The 20,935-nt window shown below is 44.0% G+C and overlaps 1 protein-coding gene across 6 annotated transcripts in view; it reads right to left on the reverse strand.

The window, feature by feature from the left end:
* Positions 1–20,935, reverse strand: part of PDZRN3 (PDZ domain containing ring finger 3) — a 242,511-nt gene that overhangs the window by 41,281 nt on the left and 180,295 nt on the right. Inside the window, exon 1 of one of the 6 annotated variants that reach the window (NM_001303142.2) lies at positions 9,928–10,284. The exons of the other annotated variants lie outside the window; for them this stretch is intronic. Within the exon in view, the coding sequence (NP_001290071.1) occupies positions 9,928–9,996 (69 nt within the window). The 5' untranslated portion in view covers positions 9,997–10,284. Of the gene's footprint in view, positions 1–9,927; positions 10,285–20,935 lie in introns of those variants that run through there. 6 annotated transcript variants of the gene reach the window in all.

The following is a 20,935-nucleotide window of genomic DNA, read 5'->3' on the forward strand; positions in this document are numbered from 1 at the left end:
TTTTTGTAAAGATGTTTACAGCCAGCCCACTCCGTCTTCCCCTTATTAGTATTTCTGATTTACTTTCCTTCAGAATTTGGGGTAGTGGAGGCTTTTAATAAAAGATATTTATTCTTGGGTCTCCTCTTAATATTTTCTTAAATGTCAAATAAGTTTTAAAATTTCTAAGATACACGTATGGAATTACAAAGAATGTTACAATGAATGCCTGTTAAACCTACCAACCACAGAGGGAAACTGGCATTTCCCCGTGACGAGGAAGAGATGGGCTTGTCTATAAGATATACCAGAAAATCTGTATTTATACAAAATGAAGTTGGACTCTAACATCTTACCATATATAAAAAAGTAACTGTGATAGACAAAATTTATATAAAACTTTGGGAGGAAAATATAAGTAAATATCTTTCTGACTCAGAGAGAGAAAACACATTTCCTAGCAAAGATTCAACAAGCACAAACCAAAAGAAAAGGGATATATTTGACTTTATGAAATTAAGAGATTTGGTTCATTAGAAAACATGATAAAGAATATGCAGGCCAGGCATGGTGGCTCACGCCTGTAATCCCAGCACTTTGGGAGGCCAAGGCAGGTGGATCACAAGGTTAGGAGATTGAGACCATCCTGGCTAACATGGTGAAACCCCGTCTCTACCAAAAAAAAAAAAAAAAAAAAAAAAATAGCTGAGTGTAGTGGCAGGTGCCTGTAGTCCCAGCTACTCGGAAGGCTGAGGCAGGAGAATGGCGTGAACCCGGGAGGCCAGAGCTTGCAGTAAGCTGAGATCGTGCCACTGCACTCCAGCCTGGGAGACAGAGTGAGACTCCATCTCAAAAAAAAAAAAAAAAAAAAAAAGAATATGCAAAGACAGGATACAAACTGGGAAATGTTTACAACACTTACATCAGAGGGGTTGGTATCCAGACTATGTTTTTCCAAATCCTACAACCAGGGAAGAAGAGGAAAAATCCAACAGAGAAGAGGAAAAATCCAACAGAGAAATGGGCAAAAAGTTGGAGCAGGCACTTTACACACAAGGAAGAAACTAAAAAATGGCCAATATACATAAATATATACTTAACTTCATAGTCAGGGTGAAGCAAATTTAAGCCACAGTGAGATACCGCTTCATATTCACTATATTGGAAAACTAAGAAGTCAGACAATACCAAGTGTTGGCAGGGATGTGAAGCAACACGAACTTCTCTACCATAATGATGGAAAGCAATTTGACACTAGTAGAACTGAAGAGGCACATAAATGCCTTCTCTTCCCCAATCCTTTCACTCATCCACTCATCCATCAGTATTTTTTTTTTTTTTTGAGACGGAGTCTCGCTCTGTTGTCCAGGTTGGAGTGCAGTGGTATGATCTCGGCTCACTGCAAGCTCCACCTCCCAGGTTCATGCCATTCTCTTGCCTCAGCCTCCTGAGTAGCTGGGACCACAGGTGCCTGCCACCACGCCTGTCTAATTTTTTTTTTTGTATTTTTAGTAGAGATGGGGTTTCACCATTTATCCACGATGGTCTTGATCTCCTGACCTAGTGATCCACCCGCCTCAGCCTCCCAAAGTGCTGGGATTACAGGCGTGAGCCACCGCGCCCAGCCATCATCAGTCTTAGTCTTATATAATAATGATTATCCTAGAGGAGTAGATTTCAAAGGGTGATTCCCAGGCCGGAAGCATCCAAAGTCTAGGGGTAAAGTGTGGCGCACAGTGTTTAAACATGCCCTCCTGGTGATTCTGATGCCAGTTCAAGTTTGAGAACCACTGCCCTAGCGGAATTTTTCTACCTTGTGACTGATATAATCCTGTGAGTTAAAAACAGGATTCCATCCTTTACCAGTCTGTCACCTTGACAAGCTGAACACCAAAGAGGCAAATAAGAAGAAAAAAAAAAAAAGAGAATCCCCTTCTCACCCAGTGAGTACTGGGGTGAAGAGCGAGGTAAGGCGGATACTTATACACTGGTGGGTATTACGCAGACAGACTCATTTAGGGGCAATCTTTATTAAGACTTTTAAAAATGGTCATCCTCAGATACAAAAAAATCGACTTCTAGAAATGTACACTAAAGATTGACCAATGATGTTGTTTAATTGACAGGCTGTAACCTGAAAGCCCCCCAGATGTGGTGTCTATAAATCATGACCTATCATTATGGTGATAGCTATACAGCTCTCATCAGAAAGAGGCCCCTGCTCAAACTTATTTCCACAAGAATTCTGCCAATTCAGATTCATTTGGGTAATAAGGTCCTTCTTAAAAATACATTCTCTTCCGGCAGGAGAATTCTACCCATCATCATTCACATTATTGGAAATTAATCAGGTTACTTTCTTATTTACTACTGGGAAGGGAGTATTTGTAGGAGCAGGGGGTGTCTTGTTTAGGAGGATATAGGATAATGCTGGAGCCTGGAGTGATTCAGAGAAAGAATATGGTGAGATATATATATACACACATGCATATGTATACATTATGTATATAATGTATACATAATATTTATCATGTATATACAGCAACTTCCAGAGACTCTTCCATAGTCAGAAACACTGTCCTTATTTCCTACTGCCACTCAAATCAAGACCAGTGTGCAACACAAACTGAATACTGGTGCCAATGATATTCTTTCACTTCTGCACTATTTCAGCTTATTCTTTATCACAAGCTGATGAATATCAGATGTATCTGAAAATTTTATATATTCTCTCTCCTTTACAGACAAAATTCAATAACCTTCAATTTTCTACTTGTAAACTAGATATTACAGAACTATTTGCTTGAAAAAAGTTCTCAAACAAAACAATTTATTTTTGGTATTAACCAACAGATGGCTAAATTTTTGATCCACATCTAAGTGTCTGAGATGTGACTTCTTTGCTGCCTACTCATCCGACAAAGACTCAAGAAAATCTGTCAGAAGGCTTAGGTCACCTAGCAGTCCTCCCTCTTCCAGCATTTTTGATTTAATACAGAACATAGGCTCCTAAACGTGAACTTGCGCCAAACCCACCTGGAGCCCTTGTGAAACAAATTGCTGGGCCCCACCCCAGCGTTTCTGATTCAGTAGCTCTGGGGCGGGGCCTGAGAAAGTGCATTTCTAACAAACACGTTCCCAGATGCTGTTGCTGGGCCAGGACCCTACTCTGAGAACTAATGACTTAAAAGAAACTTCCAGAGACTCTTCCACAGTCAAAAGCTGTCCTTGCTTCCTACTGCCACTCAAATCAAGACCAGCATGCAGCACAACTGAACATTAGTGCCAATAATATTCTTTCACTTCCGCATAATTTTGGCATATTCTTTATCACAAGCTGATGAATATCATCAAATGTATTTGGAAAAAAAAATTATCCCATGAGGCAGGCAATTAGTAGATGGAAAAGGGATCCTTTCCCTGAAGTTCACCAATGAATACACAACTCAAAATGCCCTTGATGAACAAGTAGGCAAACAGGTCACTCTAGGCAGGACACATTCATTCCTGACATTTCTCAGGGCAGCACCAGCTGTTCCGCAGCACAGCTCGACTACATTTTACCAACGTTATGACGCCTGTCACATAAATGACAGTGGCACTGCCAGAAACTGGCTTTGTGGGCTTCAGAGAGTGAAGGCTGTTCCCTGCTTAATTCCACACTGGTCGGAGAATGCAGGATTAGTGGGGCTCTGCTGTGCCTTCACCCCGAACTGTTGACGGTATTCTTTTGTGCATTACCCACCCCCCCACCACCGCCCACATTTAACCATGACCTCTTCCTGCATTATTAATGAACACAAGAGAACTCATTTATTAAAGCTGGATTTTTTCACTATTCCATATGTTTCCTTCTGCATGCCATGGCAGGTGGGTGACAGGAACACAGAGAGAGGGGCTGTCTTCTCCCTTGTGACCCCGTACCATCTGCCTCATGGCAACGTGCAGCTGTATCTGTGGAAACCATTAGAGACCAGGGATATGGACTCATTTGTCACGGTAAAACCCTTCCCAAACCAAAGTGGGATCCACTTGATACATTTCTCACTCAGAAGTTAATCTGGTAAACACATCCTGAACAGTTACTAGTTATGTGCCAGGACCTGGGGTTTCACAGAGAACGATGCAAAGTCCCTACCTTCATGGGGCTGACATTTGTCCAGGAGGTTGGGGTTGAAAACAGGTGATAAGCAAGCCAACAAAATACAGGAGCGGTGCACAGAGAGGTTAGAGTGGGTCGGGGGATTTTCTTAGGTCAGGTCAGGCCTCCAGGGAGAGGGACATTTAAGCTGAGCTCAAAGATGAATTGGTGAACTAACTTACAGGCAGAAAGGAACAGCCAGCTGCAAAGTCTTGAGAAGGAAGGAATAAGGTGGGTTCTGGGTCTTGAAAGGAGGCCTGCAGGACCAGGGCAGATGAGCAGGGCAGGAGGTTTATGGGAGAGGTCAGAAGAGGCTGGATCTCACAGGGCTCTGTGAGCCACAGTTAATTCACTGAATTCCAAGGGCACTGGGGAGCCAGTGAGCAAGTGGGTGAGCACCTCGGTTCTCAGCACTTGGTGGGTCGGGTGAACGTGTTGGCTGAATGAATGAAAAATGAATGTCTTGTGTCCCCTCTGTTCCACATCCTCACCTCCTTGGTCCAAACCATGGTCATTTCATTCAACACCTAGTTCTCTTTCTAAATTCCTGATTTGTATTCTTCTTTTCTTGCTCCTCACTCTTCCTAACAAACACTACAAAATCCAACTTATTCAACCAACCATGTGCTGAGAGTAACAGTGGTGATGAGACTTCCTAGTTTACAGTGTAACATGGGAGGCCAAATTAACATATATATGGAAACAAGGTGGAAGGAAGTGCAGGGCACCTTGGAATACTTCAGAAGGACACCTAAGCTAGGACGGTGGGTATCAAGCCCTAGTCCTAAGGGAAAGGAAGGAAAACTCCTTTATGGTCCTCTAAAGCTTTGTGTCTTAAGAGGAGACAAACTGAAAGAAGAGAGGTAATCTCTGGTCCCACCCTAGGTCGTTTCTTTTCAGAATCAACATAAAAGTGGTTTATAATCCATTGTTAATTAACAAGAAAACAACAGTTAGTGACAAATAACGGCCATGTATTAAAAAGTGACTTTCTCAGCCATATGCTGGCTCCATATTCAATAAAGGGCCCTGTTTGTCAAGGTGGGAGGAGAAGATGGGCTTGTTTTTTTTTTCCCCCAGAGAAGGGGTCTTGCTCTGTCACTGTCACCCAGGCTGGAATGCAGTGGCACCAGCATAGTTCACTACAGCCTCCAACTCCTAAGCTCAAGTGATCCTCTCACCTCAGCCTCCTGAGTAGCTGGGACTACAGGCATGCACCATCATGCCTGGCTAAGTTAAATTTCTTTCTTTTTTTCTTTTGTAGCGATGGGATCTCATCAAGTTGCCCTGGCCATTCCTGAACTCCTGGGCTCGAGCAATCCTCCCACCTCAGCCTCCCAAAGTGCTGGGATTATAGGGCATGAGCTTCCATGCCTGGCCAAGATGAGCTTTCTTTTTCCATACCTACTTTGCCTAAATGAATTCAGAATGTAAAGCTGCTTCTAAAACAAAGCTTTTAGAATTAATAGGCTGTTTAAGCAAACACACTCCTACTTGCAGGAAAATTTTGCCAGGTTCAAAACTGCTGTGTGGAGGTCAAGTTTATGTTCATCCAATTAACCGTCATTAATTGGGTCCATACTTAATCGAACCGTGACCCATCTGACTCTCAGCTGATGCAGAGTCTCTTTGCTCTACAGCAGTAAACTCATCTGAGTACTGCATCTAGCTAATATGCAAGCAGGATTGTGCAAAGTCAAGTTTCCAGACTTCTCCATAAACTTGATTCTGATTAGTATTTACTTTGGAAATCTGTGTTTTTCTATCCAACTGGCTATGAGATTGATGTATAAAGGGTCACAAATCTGTATCAGATCTATAGTTTTCTGGCAGGTCACAGTTAGTGGTAAAGTTTTTGCTTCTCAAAGCTAACAACTTCAAGTGCCATAAGAGGCACAAATTAATCTTATGTGATGTTTCCTGTTATTACTGAGAGGCAAAAGGACATCAGCGTTCTCAAATCATTCATTCTTCAGGTTGCCTGATAAGCCAGTGGGAACTCTGTGTTACTCCGGAGCTCATTTTTCTCTGCACATCACCCTTTCCAGGTATGAAGGACCAGCAACCCCGTAGGAACCTTTCTCAGGAGGTACCACGTAGCACCTGGGCCTGTCTGAGACACCAAGGTCTTTATGTTAGCCCCACAAAGGCAAGCATGATTTTTGGAAACTGACCCGCAGGTTCCCTATAAAGTTGATCATCATTCATTCATTGACAATGCTGGAAAATGATTTATACAAGAAAAGAATTCACAGATGTGGGAATTATAGTGCAGATCTGACTCCCAGTCCCACTATAATTCCTTTGTATGTCAGTTTCTTCTCTTTGAAATAGGGATGACAGTATCACCTATCTCTTCATGCTTGTGTACAGATCTGATGGGAAAGTGCACAGCTGACACTCAGCATTGTGCCGGCACATAGTAAGTGCACAATAAATAATGCTGTGGCTGTCAGTAATGAATAGTCCTGTGACTATAGATAAGTTTTCCTTATCCTGAAAATGTGCATGCAGACTTTAGGACAATGTGCTACTCATAATTTCTAGTTTGAAGCTTAACTCCCAATCAGAATTATTTCCTTGTTGCCTCATCAAATTAGAAAAGGTCACCATTTTACAAAAAGTCTCTGGTCGATGTTAGAAGAGGTGGAGGGAGTAAATGATACTGGCTGGGGTGGCACTCTGTTCCCCTCTTCCTGGCCTCCATTGGAAGACCCTCCTCAAAGCATCCACAGACTGGCTGTCCCCTTGACTTGACAGTACATGGCTACAAACAAGGCTGGTGCTTAGCCTGTGCTGGAGTCACTGGCATCAAACCCACAGAGCCACAGACTTTCCCATCCTTACACCCCCAACTCCCACTCCCTGGCCCCAACACCTGGTAACCACCCTTAGCTGGATTCCAGCCACAGCCCAAGAGCTGTGAGGCTCCCTATCCCATTACTCCCAGAACATGAGATCTCCTGTGCCAATTAATTTATCCAAGTAGGAGACTGTACTCCTTGACAACCTTAAAGCATCTTCCTTACTTCCCTGTCCTTTCACCTTAATAGTGCTTCTGAGTACTCAAAGGTACTCAAGACAGGCTAAAGTTTTCCAAATCATGAAGCAACTGTTAAATTTCAAATTTCTGGTAGGCAGAGGCCCTGTCTTGACGTTTCACACTGCCCTGCAACCCCCACCACCTGGACACCACAGTTATCATAAAAGCATAAAGAACTGCTATACTTGTCTGACCTGACCTTACGACCCCAGGTAGGCAGGAGGCTTCCTCCCTATAGAAGTGTTTGAGTGTCCCTAAATGTCTTGGTGCATCTTTTAATGCATGGCCCCAATCACTGATGCGTCTGCACTCTTTGCAATGCCCTTTAATGACCAGGCAACTTTATGTGGTGGTGTTGTTTTTCTAATGTGATTAAAGGTACAATGAGGTATGTGTGCAACAAGAGGCAAAGCCATTGTTCTGCATCATTAAGCTCACAGCAGCCCCCAAAAAGAAACTGTAGGCAGCTTGCCAATGGCCCTAATGAAGAGCATCTCTTTGAATTATCTCTGGATGAGGAAAGGATAAAGTCTGAGCCCTGGAATATTTGATCCTCTTTGTGCTGCTGTTACGAGGGCTTACTGAAGCCAGACGCACCGGACCTTCTGGAACTGTAATTTATGGAAACCTTAATTTCTCTGCCCTAATAAGGCTTTGCATAATAAGAGCGAGAATGCAATTATTAATTCCTGCAAGTGTTTTGTGAATTCCTTTATGCTACGGTTCAGGACTCCCAAAGAATAGGAGCAGGGGGGATTTTACTTAGTTGGCACAAGGGTAATGGGTCTGAAAAGTAGTTTGAGTTTCTTGAAAATAAATCTGCATGGCTTCCTAAATTGCTGACCAAGTATATTCCAGATGGAAGTCATTTATCAGCAATTTACTGAGCAATGCTTCAGCCAGAAGTATTTCCACATAAATTCACCTAGTAAAAAACAAACAACAGAATCCAGGCTCCCTCTTTTGGGGGCAGTCGTGTGTGTGTGTTTGGGGGTGGGGCTGGGGGGACTGAGCACAAATGATACAGAAGAATAAAAGACAGGTTCACTTAGATTTGCCAGAGATGTAGTAGAGTTACTTTTTGGAGGGTGCCAGTGTAATTAATACATCCACAACTGTGACTGCTGAATGATATTTTATGTGCATTGATGGTAAAAAGCAAAACATTTTTAAAAGGCAAATTTTAAAAACTACCTTTTGACTTACTATGTTGAGCTATTTCAAATATAGCGTCAAAAGTCTGTAACAGAACCACCTTGCCCAAATGGCAGCGTCTGCTGTTCCACTTGTTTCCTGCCTGCGTGCTGGACTCACTGAGAACTCCCCAGCTCACTGAGTGGGATAACTTGGCAAACTGAGGACTACACCTCACCACATGATCACACAAGGGATGGGGGCCAGATCGCCAGTGGTGAAAGCGCTTTTGCCCGAGATCTCCAACATGTCTCCCAAATGCTTTGAAAAGGACTTAAGTCCAGTGAAGTCCTGAGTGTGAAGTCACAGGTCGGAAATGTATTTATTCACAAGACTTATTTAAGATGCTTGTTTTTTGTAAGATATGTACCCCTTGCCTAAGGAGAGTAGCAAGCCTCAAAAGGTTTGTTTTGACCCTCTCTCTGTCTCAGTGGGGAAGGCAGACAGACAGAGAGATACTTTTTGTTCACCCAGGGTCATTTTATCTTTAGGTTTTGTCCAGAGAGGCAGCCAACCCACCTTTTGCCGCGTCTCCCTGTGTCTCTTTAAGCATATCACCCCCTGGTGGCCTAAGCAAAAAATGACACTCAAATCAAATTCTTTTTTAAAAACTCTGGCTCTTTAAAAAATATATTAATATGCCATTGATTGTTATAAATCAAGAAACACACACCCTTTGTTTCTCACTTGCTGTAACAACCTTCTTTTAAAGTGCTTATCTAAAAAGAAAACCTTAGCTGGATTATTTTTTTTTTATTACTGCCAAGACACATTTGAAGAATGATTTTAGGAGAAAATCCTTACCTGCCAAGGTAGGTTACCAACAGCAGTATTAAACCTCCTAGTTAAGAGTAGGACTTGAATATTTAAAAATAAAACATTTGACAAAGATGTAAGATAAATTATCTGGGTTGTATCGTAAATATCCCATTTCATCTCAACTGAAATTTTCATGTTGCTCACAATGACTCAGAAGATACAAGTCATCTGATGTGAATGACAGCACCCAAGATCAAGTCACTTGCTTTTGAAGTTCTTAAAAATTTCACAGACAGAGGTACAGAAATGGCAAGTGAGAAGTACCAATTTGAACCATATGTCCCACTACAAGAATTGCTAAAAGAACCAAGTCAGCAGAGGGCTTGGGCTGTACTGAAAGGAGCGCCTTATAACTATTTGTAAACACAGACAAAACCTTGCTAGCATTAATCATCATCCATGTCTTCTCTAACTTGTTCAAAGGGTGCATGACCACTCTTTGACCCTTTGAGTTCGACACTCTGGAGAGAGGTCAGTTGTGAAGGAGCCTTGTGACAAGACTGCTTGAAACACATTTTATGACCATCAACATCTATTTATATTTTCAAATGCAGGCACCAAAGTGCCACTGGATGGAAAATTTTATAACAGACTTAAGAGAAAATACACAAAAAAGTCAGAAAGGCTGCGTCTTTCAGAACACAAAATATGCACAAAAACACACATAAAAATCCCCACTACCTTTCCTAGAAGTTACACTTGGCCAGGTGGGTGCCTATGCACTTCTATGGAATAAAATGCAGGGTGTTACCTGACAAACTTCATAGAGTAATTTGTACTGCTCCTCTTGCTTCTGCAGGCTGCACAGACTGCATCCCATGTTTAGAAAAACGTCAAAGGAAGGCTTCCGTTCTCGCCAGCACCCGGGAAAAGCAGCTCCCTTACAGTGCAGGCATTGAAGGTATCCTTGGAGAGCCTCAGGTGAGTCAAGCGACTGCAACGCTTCACATTGGCGCTGCTCTCAGAGGCTAGACAACAACTCTCTCCCCCCTTCCACGCTTCCCTTCCTCCCCTCGCAGCATGCATGCATGCACGCGCGTGCACACACACACACATACACACAGACATACACGCACACCACTCCCTCCTCTGAGTGACTCTGGCAGCTGGATTGTGGTCCAATGCACACGCTATATATACTGCTGCTCATGCATATTAATCAGCTCTCATTGACTATTCATAACAGACAATGATACAGAAGCTATAATTGCCAACTATGACAGTTGAAATTTCTCTAATTAACAAGCAAGTGCTCCAGTGGTAGGGAATAATAAAAGACACTAACAATTTTGCAAGCTATTTTCTGGCAGTTACAAATAAACATGACTGCATTTTTAGCAAGGTCTCTTAGGATAATCCCTAATGTGTTTCGGCTAGGTAGAAATTCATTTTTAAATATATCATAAAATTTCTGATGATATAAAATGTATTTAATGCTGCAGATAATGATGGCATATAAACGGACTTTATGGAAAGGACATGTTTTGAATAATGTTCATATAATATTTAGTGCTTTACAAAGTTGCAGGGAAAATACTCCACATATGAATAAAATATAAAAATTTAAATTGCAGGATATATCCATGAGTATGCAAAGTAGCTAGGGGTTATAAGGAGAGAGGCTGCCCTACAGGTGAGAAAGCAGATAATCATTCCCCAAATGCATTTTCAATTCCAAAAGCAGAAAGTTATTTGTTGAAGGGCTGCCCAACTAACTGGAAGGAAGAGAAGCAGTCAGCTTCATGCCATCCCCTCAGCCATATAGATGCTGCAGATATTTCAGAGATGATATGGCTGGGCTGACTGTCACTGGTTACTACGGATCTGTATCTGATGTTCCATACCTGCCTAGACCTCTGAAGCTGTGCCCCAAGTTGTGTGTGAAGAAAGCAGAGAGCTGCCAGATTCTACTTGGGAGGTGACAACAGACAACATTTAAGAATTTTGGTTCTTGCTGCCTTGCTTCTCTCCTCCTTCAGCCTCTGTCCTGCTGAGTAAGCCTGACACCTTTTCTAAAAACTTTGTTTTTAAATAAATGATTGCCCCATTGCCTGAACGAAATGCACAGGTACCTTTTTCTCAACGAAAATGGTCGATGTTTAAAATTCTCACAATTGCTTCCAGAGCCTTCACCATTTTACAAAGGTTTCATTTTACAAAGGTTTAACTGTCTCCGGGGAGGACTCCCACGTCCCTTGCTGAGACGTGCCATGGGGCCTGAAGAATAATGCTCCCTTTCTCAGGGAGCCGAGACACACCTGAGACGTGAATAAACCAGTCCCAATAAAATCCCACTTGGGCTGATGGCCAGCAGATGCCTCTGGACCCATTTCTCAGACACCGAAGACGAGGCACAGTGACTTGGCTTACACCAGCTAACAGCCCTGACTTGCTGGAGGGTGAGGAGCCTTCCTTCCAGGCCCTCACCTGGTGTCACTGCCTGGACTGGAGCAGTAAACTGGAACGTGCCACCAGGGAAAGGAAGCCACAGATGGGGCGGGGCAGCTGCAGTAATTGCTGACTTGTTTTGATGCTGCGCAGGGCCCTATTAACCCATGAGTACGTTATTGGCCCTCTGGTCTCTTAATCTCTAAATAATAGGTATGATGCTAATTACCTTGCAGAGTTTTGTTGCAATGATTTGAGAAAACAAAAGCAGCTCTAATAAAAAACAGAGGTCATATTTCTTCACTCTCCTTGCCTCATCCCCACCCTTGGTCCATCAGTGAGTCTGGTCTGTTCGACCCCAAATTAGATCTCAAACCTGTCCATTCTGCCTATTGCCCTTGCACACCATGGATTCTCACTTGATGATGCCCAGAGCCTCCTGGGTGCTCTCTGCCTCCTCTCCTGCCTACTCACCAGTTGCTTCTCTACCCTAGTTCATTCCCTACACAGTTGCCAGGCTGGTCTTTACAAAGCAGAAAGGGATGACTCCACCGTTTGCTGAAAAGCCCTCAGATCACTTCCCATCACTCTTGGATTGAAACCCAAATTCTTCACCAGCGCCTATAGTGCTCTGTAAAATCTCACCTTTGTCCATCAATGTCTCATACCCATCATTGCTCACCCACTCTGGTGGTCACCACACTGCCAGCAAGCCATGCCCTTCTGCAGGGCCTCTGCAGGTCTCTCTGCTGGAACCGCTCTTCCCTTTCTCCTTCCTTCCAACCCCCATCCCCATCTCCGCTCAAATGAAGCCTCCTTAGAAAAGCCTTTGCCAGGTATCTTGTATGAATTTACTTTCAGATCTTCCAAAGTACTGTGTCGTATCACCCCGTTCATTTCCTTTGCATCGCTTTCCAAAATCAGTAATGATTCTGTTCACTTAACGCTTATGTGTTTGCTGACTGTTTCCTTGTGCAAGCCTTTTGGCTTCCTGAGGACAGGGACTGGGTCTGAATTTCTACCAGCCCAGGCCCCGTGAAGGTGCTCAGGAAAACATACTCACTGCATGAAGAGATGAAGGATGACCTGTGCGGTCTCACAGACCCACCAGTCACAGCACAATTGGCAAGTACCAGCAGGGAGAGGAAAACAAAGTGTGCTTGGGTGTCCCCACAAAAAAAGGCTTGCAATCACGGTTGGCTCTCCTCCCCCAAAGTTGAGGGCCTTTAAGTTATGTTTTTCATAAGATTCTGTGGTTTCAAAGTAGTCCTTCACCTTTTTCCTGCACATCCACAAATCAAAGTCGAAATGGGCCTAAGCTACATGATTAGGGAAATTTTACACATCCTTTTTACTCTTTGTTAGAAAGTTTCCCAATCTCAATAACAAGCTGGGACAGTTTTACTGCATATGGCACTGTATTTCCGAGCAGTGGTTCTCTAACATTTTGGCCTTAGGAACTCTTTCACTCTTAAAAATTACTGAGAACCGGCCGGGTGCAGTGGCTCATGCCTGTAATCCCAGCACTTTGGGAGGCTGAGGTGGGCGGATCATGAGGTCAGGAGATGGAGACCATCCTGGCCAACATGGTGAAACCCTGTCTCTACTAAAATACAAAAAATTAGCCAGGTGTGGTGGCACACACCTGTAGTCCCAGGTACTTGGGAGGCTGAGGCAGGGTAATTGCTTGAACCCGGGAGGTGGAGGTTGCAGTTAGCCAAGATGGTGCCCACTGCACTCCAGCCTGGCGACAGAGAAAGACTCTGTCTCAAAAAAAAAAAAAAAAAAAATTACTGAGAACCTCAAGGACTGTTGTTTATATGGGTTATATTAAGCAATATTTATCATATTAGAAATAATCAGAAATTTTAAATTTATTCATTAATTCATTTTAAAATAGCAATAACAAACCCATTACATAATAATATAAATAACATTTTTATGAAATGACTATATTTTCCAAAACAGAAGTTTTTGAGAAGGAAAGCATAGTTTTACATCTTCCAAAAGCTCTTTAAGGGCTAGTGTAATTGAAGATAGCTAGATTTTCACATTTTCTTCTGAATTCAAATGCTTGTGATATGTCATGTAACCGCTAGAAAACTCCACTGTACTACATGCTCATAAAAGAATGACAGTATAACATCTTGCTATTTTTACAAAAATGTTTTTGACCTCACAGATCCCCAGAAACAAGTGTGCTGGACCCCCAGGGGTGCCCGGGCCTCACTTTGAGAACAGCTGCCTTACAAGGGTACTTTGGTGAGTCTGGTGTCTAAGAGCCTCACACTGCAGGAGGCGGAGAGGAATGGAAAGGATACTAATACAAATTCGACTCATGGTTGAGTTTCCATTCTTGTGATTAATATGTGTTATTTGGAATAAAAAATGGAAAACACTCATGCACCCATTATGCCTAAAACAAGACATACCAAAGTGATTTTTTTTTTCTAATTTAAAGTACCCTTTACTTTGGAAAATCATCTAGCACATTTAGAATGGTGTTTTATTTTCAAAATGTTGCTTTCCTATAGTAAGGAACACACAATTGTGTAAAAAAGGAGGTTCACCTGCTTGATGATACACACCCTACCATTTAGTAAAGCTCATCCCAGAGGCAGTGTAAGGGCAAAGAAAGTCTGTTAGTGATTGCAAGTTGTTTATAATAGAACTGTTTTTGAGAGAACAGCTGTCCCAGTAAAAATGAAAAAACTACTGGCCACACAAAGGCACACATTGTTTGATGAAGATGCTTAACGTCTTTTTCAAGTTAGTAATCACATCACTGGAAAGTGCCTAATAAGCTCACCAGAGCACAAGGCACTCTTCTCGGGTGCTCTGCACCATCAGACGCCTGCCTCTTCCTGCCTTCATGGAAATTAAAAATAAAGTGCAAAGAGGGGTCACCAAGGAACACACAATGAGACAAACAGATAGACAAGGCATATACACAAAGGGCTTAAAGTGCCCAGGGAATATCCCTCATAATCGTTCTTTGAACTTCCATAAGTCATCAGGGTGCTACAGACAGTCAGCAGATGTAGACATGAACTTATATTTATTTAATTGCTGAATAAGCTATCTAATTCAAGCATATTATTTTCAGCATACTGATTGGATTGTCTATTTGCCTGATACCTAAAATACAACCTTGTTTTCTCTATTGTAATGATGAGCACAGGTCTCACCATGCTATGAACTTCCAGTCCAGCCATATAGACTTCTGGAAGAGTCATGTCAAAAAGAAGTGAGATGGCAGGACTGAGGAGGAAACAGGTCTGTGTGGAGCAATGGCATCCCTTTGTTAGGCACCGGCCAGTCACGGGATAGATTCTTCCTCTCTCAAATCTCTCAGACCTGCCCGCTGGCTCTTCTTTCCTGGGGATCTTTCCATCTTTCTTCTGGATCACACAGATTCACTAACTTGTCTTCTTCCCGGGTGGAACCCCACTCTCCCTTCAGTTACTACTGTTCGCCGGGCTAGAATAGTCCTTAACAATACACACACAGCCAATAAACCCATCAAGCTCAAGACACAGCCCAATTTCTCATGTGCATGGACCCAACTTCTCTTAGTCTGCCCAGCCTCATCTGCGTCCTCTGGACATGCGTGCTGTTTTCTGGCAGTGCTGAATGAACTGGGTCAGGTTCCTTCACACCTCCACGTCTACACATAGGCCATGACCTCTGCCTGGAATGCTCAATTCCATCTCCTTCAGGGTGCCCCTTAAGTCTCACCTCCTCTGTCCCACCCTCCTCAGTGCCCTGCACACTTTCCCAGGTGCCTCCTTATGGCACGATTCACACGGATGGTCACTTTCTGTTTGCATCCCTCTGTTCTTCCCTGGAGAGCACTCTTCCAGTGCAAGAACCAGGCCTCAGTCAGCGGTATATGCCCACCAACTTCCTCCTCTGATGTTCCATAAATATCTGATGAATAAATTCAGCATCAGATACATACTGAGGGCCTGCTCAGCACCAGTCACTTTTCTGGGCTTTGGGAGTACAGTAGTGAGCAGATGGACTATAGTGTCTGACATGAACAAAGAAGTTGGCTCTCACAAGAAGGTCAAGGCTGTAGACCTAAAAGAATCACTTTTTGTGCCTTTGGTAGGACAGTTGCTCCCACAAGCCCTGTATACTATGCATGGCTAGAGAGCCCAAATCACAATCTGTTGAAGAAATGGTTTAGTCACTCGTGAACCCTCATCCTTGTCAAAGTGACTTTTCAACAGCTTGTCTGAACCCTATTTAGTGAGTGGCCACTGGTTCTTGAACAAGGAGTAAGACGTGGATGAAAACTGTGTCTTCATAGCAAGAAAAAAAGCAACTTCAAAGATGTCAGAATGCACACACAAAAAATGTCAAAGTAAAAAATATGTAACAGCAGCTGTGAGTGCAGTTTTTGTTTCTGAAAAGCTATGTAAGCTCAGAACATCTGCTTAGGCCCTCATATTTTATTTTATTTTATTTTATTTTTTGAAACAGAGTCTCACTCTGTCACCCAGGCTGGAATGCAGTGGTGTGATCTCGGCTCACTGCAACCTCCACCTCCCAGGTTCAAGCGATTCTCTTGCCTCAGCCTTCTGAATAGCTGGGACTACAGGCATGCACCACCACATCAAGCTAATTTTTCTATTTTTAGTAGAGTTGGGGTTCACCATATTGGCCAGGCTGGTCTTGAACTCCTGACCTCAAATAATCCACCCACCTCAGCCTCCCAAAGTGCTGACATTACAGGCATGAGCCACCGCGCCCAGACTCTTATTTTTTTTTTGAATGAAAAAATATTTTTCCTTTGCCAAATTGATTGAGGTGCCGCTGTCTTGAGGACATTTTCTTTGGGCTGCAGAGATCTTGAGGAACATCCTGGCTGCCTGAGACTGATGGCTCACTGTTTCACTTGAAGTACTAGTTTGGTGCAAAAGTAATTGCGGTTTTTACAATAACATGGAGAGGAGGCACATGCTGAGCCCTGCTGGGAAGGGGAGCAAGGCAGCTGGTGAGGGCAGCCTACTATGTGCCTGTCATGGCTAGCTCCAAATCCCACGCAGGCCAGTGAGCATCAGTCTCTGAAAGTCATGCAACAGACCCGGAAACAGGCTGCTGCAACTGCCACAGGAACTGAGAATGGGGAGGCCAGAATACAGGCATCCCTGCCCTAGGCCACCAGCAGGAAGGAGATTTGATGCGCCTTGATGTCACAACATGCAGCCCAAGCTGAGGGGCCTGAGGCCTCACGGACGCCCCGTGAGACACCTTGACTCCTTGGAGGTCCCAGAACACACTGTGTTTCCCGACACTGGCGACAAATGGGTACCCCCATTTCCCCAACTAGATTGGAAATTCCCGAGGGCGGTTCCCGAGCAAGTCATCTTTGTAACCCCTGAAATGCCTATGACAACACCCAGCCTCCAAAAGGCCCTTGCTAACTCTTTGGAATGAACAACTGTGAGTTCGCACAGTGAGTGTCTCGGGGATGGGACAGGGAAGTGTAGAGAGTGAACTCAGCCCAGTCCCTCAGAACAACTTGCACAGAGTGTGGGAAATTCACAGCCTCTTAGGAACTTGGTTTCCCCTACTAACAGTCGGGCAGTCCTCCGACCAGGGGGACGGTTCCTGAAAAGAGAGAAAGCCTTGAAAGGTATTGAAGCACAGTCTGTGGGTGTGCACTAAACCAAAGGAACAGTCACAAACCAGGGGCGGAAAGCCCTTCCAGCATTTTCTGGTGCAGGGGTCGGCAAACTTTTTCTAGAAAGGACAGGACAGAAAATATTTTACACTTTGTGGGTCAAGAGGCAAAATCAAGAAGAGTATATAGATACTTATATAACAACCATTTAAAAATGTAAAATACGGCTGGGAGCGGTGGCTCACGCCTGTAATCCCAGCACTTTGGGAGGCCGAGGCGGGCAGATCACGAGCTGGGCAGATAGAGACCATCCTGGCCAACATGGTGAAACCTCGTCTCTACTAAAAATACAAAAATTAGTTGGGCGTGGTGGAGCATGCCTGTAATCCCAGCTAGTGGGGAGGCTGAGGCAGGAGAATCACTTGAACCTGGGAGGCGGAGGTTGCTGTGAGCTGAGGTCGCACCACTACACTTCAGTCTGGTGACATAGTGAGACTCTGTCCCAAAAAAAAAAAAAAAAAAAAAAGTAAAATACATTCTTAATTGCAAACTGTACCAAACGAGGCTGTGTGCTGGATTTGGCATGTGGACCATAATTTGACGACAAAACAATCACAGACTGAGCTAAGAGTTCTTTGACACTTGGTGATGATACGGTCAGGACGAAGTATTTCTCTTACCCCTATTTTACCCAGGAAGGAACTGGGGCTCAGGGAGGCAGAGTAATTTGCCCAAGAGCACACAGCCTGCAAATGGCAGAAATGAGATCAGAATTTGTAACCCCAAAGCAAGTAAGACCTTACATCTTCATTAGGAATGCTGAGGCGGGCAAACAGGCTTTCAAAACTGGCTTCCTGGGAAATGGCAGGGGCTGGTAAAGAAAACAATCCAGGAAACACAATGTACTCGTGAGGATGCCGATCAACATACAGAGTCTGTAAATGACTGGCCTGCTGAACAGGACAAGGCATGGCTTGCTGAGACTATCTCCTTCTAGATACAAGGTTTCCTTTTAATACTTACAGCTACCAAATGGCCTGATCACAAAGTCCCTGCTGAGTCTGGGGGATAGGAAGGGTCTCAATCATGGTCCATGGGTAATCTCTTTGCCCATGTGAATGTGACCAATGTATCAAAGGCTCCATTCTAAATGGCATGGTGGGGCAGTGGTGGGCATTGTGGCTCTGTGATCTGGGCCAGGCTCCCAGCCACCCTGGGGGTTCCCTGCTGGGCTCCTGGAGGACCTGCCTCAACCCTTGGATATGGGGTTCCACCTGACAGCAGGAAAAGAGATTTGAGGCCTGGAGTCCAGGCAGGACAGATGGTAGAAACCAATGGAGATGCATGGTGAACACTCGAGACAGAGGGGAAGTGGGGAGGGCATCAGGCCAGGATTTGCAGGAATTCAGGTGGCGGGCCTTTGCATGTTTCAAAGTCCTAGGTAGCTTAAGCCAGGCTTAGCTGCAAGGGGAGAGACCCTAAGGAGAGAAAAGGAGAACAAGTGATAGGATGAAGAAAGGGGAGAGATTCAGAACTGGCGCTACAGGGCACGTGAACGTGACACCAATTGTGTTATTGTGGATTCAGAAAAATGACTAGAATAACACACTGGGAAAAATGTTACGAGGAACACTAGGTGTTACAAATCCTCGAGGGAGATGTGATGGCATTAAGTTAAAAGAATTAGGTGAGAGGTCACAAACTCTATAGTGGGCTGTTGTGGTGTCTTTAACATTTTAACTTAGGCACTAATTAAAAAAATCAGCAGCAGTCGTCTGAAAATGTGTGGATTTTTTTTTTTTTTACATCTTTTGAAAATTCCTAGTGTGTGGCACATATGACCTTGCATTCCCATGTGACAAAAATGAGCAGAAGCAGGGTAAAGCTGTCCCTTGAGATGGGGTATGTGGTCCCCCCATGCCACAGCTCCTCCCAGGCCTCTTCACTGGCCACTTTCAGCTGGAGTACACTAAGGTGCCTAGGTCCCTGTGGTGTTGTTTATAAAGGACAATATAAAACAGAAGAGCCTTGGTATAAGATCAGAGGCAGAGACTGCAGCCTACCTCCCTCCCTCCCTTTCTTCCTCCTTCACCTGAAGGGAGGCTGTGTCTCCTATGAGCTCACTTCAAGTGGGGGCGTGGGAATCCGGCTGCTCCCAGCCGCGCCCCACCACCGGCCCAGTGGGTGTCAGTGTCATGGGTGGAAATAAAAACCTCACCTCATACCTTCCACCTATTCATTCACGCCTCCGTATTGATTGCCTACTATGAGCCAGACACTGTTGTTTAGTGGTAAACAAAACACACAAAACCCCCCCTACCCTCCTGAAGCTGCTGTGTGCATCTGACTTGCAGCCACCCCAGGACAACAGCTGCTCTAAGTTCGCAGATGGCTTCCCAGTTGCCAAACTCCAACCATCCCCAAGTCTTTGGAGTCATTGGCCTGGGTGACTTTCCACATGGAGTCTTCCCACTTCCATATTTGTGCATTCCAAACCTCCGGCTGCAGGGAACTACCATGATTTTTGACTTACAGCCTCTACTACTATTAACTTGATTTATTTTCCTTTTTCTTTTTTTTTTTTTTTTTTTGGGGGGGGGACAGCGCTTGCTTTGTCGCCCAGGCTGGAGTTCAGTGGTACGATCATAGCTCACTGCAGCACTGAACTCTCGGGCTCAAGCTATCCTCCTGCCTCAGCCTCCTGAGTAGCTGGGACTACAGATGGGCACCACTATGCCTGGCTATTTTTTTATTTATTTTTTTGTAGAGATGGGGTGGGTCTCACTTTGTTGCTCAGGCTGGTCTTGAACTCATGGCCTCAAGCGATGTTCCTGTCTTGGCCTCCCAAAGTGCTGGAATTATAGGCATGGGCCACTGAGCCTGGTCCAGCTTTTTTTTTTAAAGCTATTCACATGGTTTTACTTAAAGTACTTTTGAAATAAAATCTAATCCCCACTGTAAATGGAAAATCAGCATCATTTGCTATGTATTAAAAATTACTATAAAAATAATCACATCAATTTCAAAATTAAAAAGGGCTCATCTTTATGCCACATAATTTTGATCCCACCATATGTAACATGGCTGGAACGAACGCGCAATTGGTACTGAATTTCAGCCTCACTGTGACCTTTCCCACATCTGTCTCATCAGCCTTTCCTATCTGTCTCCTGCTATCCTGCCCCTGACCCCATGCTTGGGTCTGCTTTGTGACTGACATCCCTAATCCTTTCAATCCATGATGCTTTTATTGGACCCATTAGCCCTACCTGGAATACCTTCCACACATACATTTGTGCTTGTTGAGATGTGAGCTCCATCCTTCCAATCCCATGCATATTAAAGCCCACCCCAATTTGTCCATCAGAATTGATCTCTAGCTCCCAGGTGCTCTGCCAGAGGATTTGCTGCCATCTGCACTGTGCCAGTTTCTTGAGGGCATGTCCATCTGTCCTCCTACTCCTTTCATTTAAGCAGGTGAATGTTATGCTAAGTGTCTAGGACAGAATGGTGACTGTGGCCAGCCTCTTCCTTCTAAGAGGAAAGCAACAAGTTCTTGAAGACAAAAACCCCACCGTGGTTTATGACCAATAAATAGCTTCATTACCGTGATTAATCAACAAGCAAGTACTTATTGAGCATCTGTGCTACACATCGTCCCAGCTCAGGGAATACAGAAAAATTGTAAAGCCTGTCTCTATACTCAAGCAGCTGATGATGTCTCCTGGGAAACAAGACT

This window comes from Homo sapiens, chromosome 3, assembly GCF_000001405.40.
Source record: "Homo sapiens chromosome 3, GRCh38.p14 Primary Assembly".
Lineage (NCBI taxonomy): Eukaryota > Metazoa > Chordata > Mammalia > Primates > Hominidae > Homo > Homo sapiens.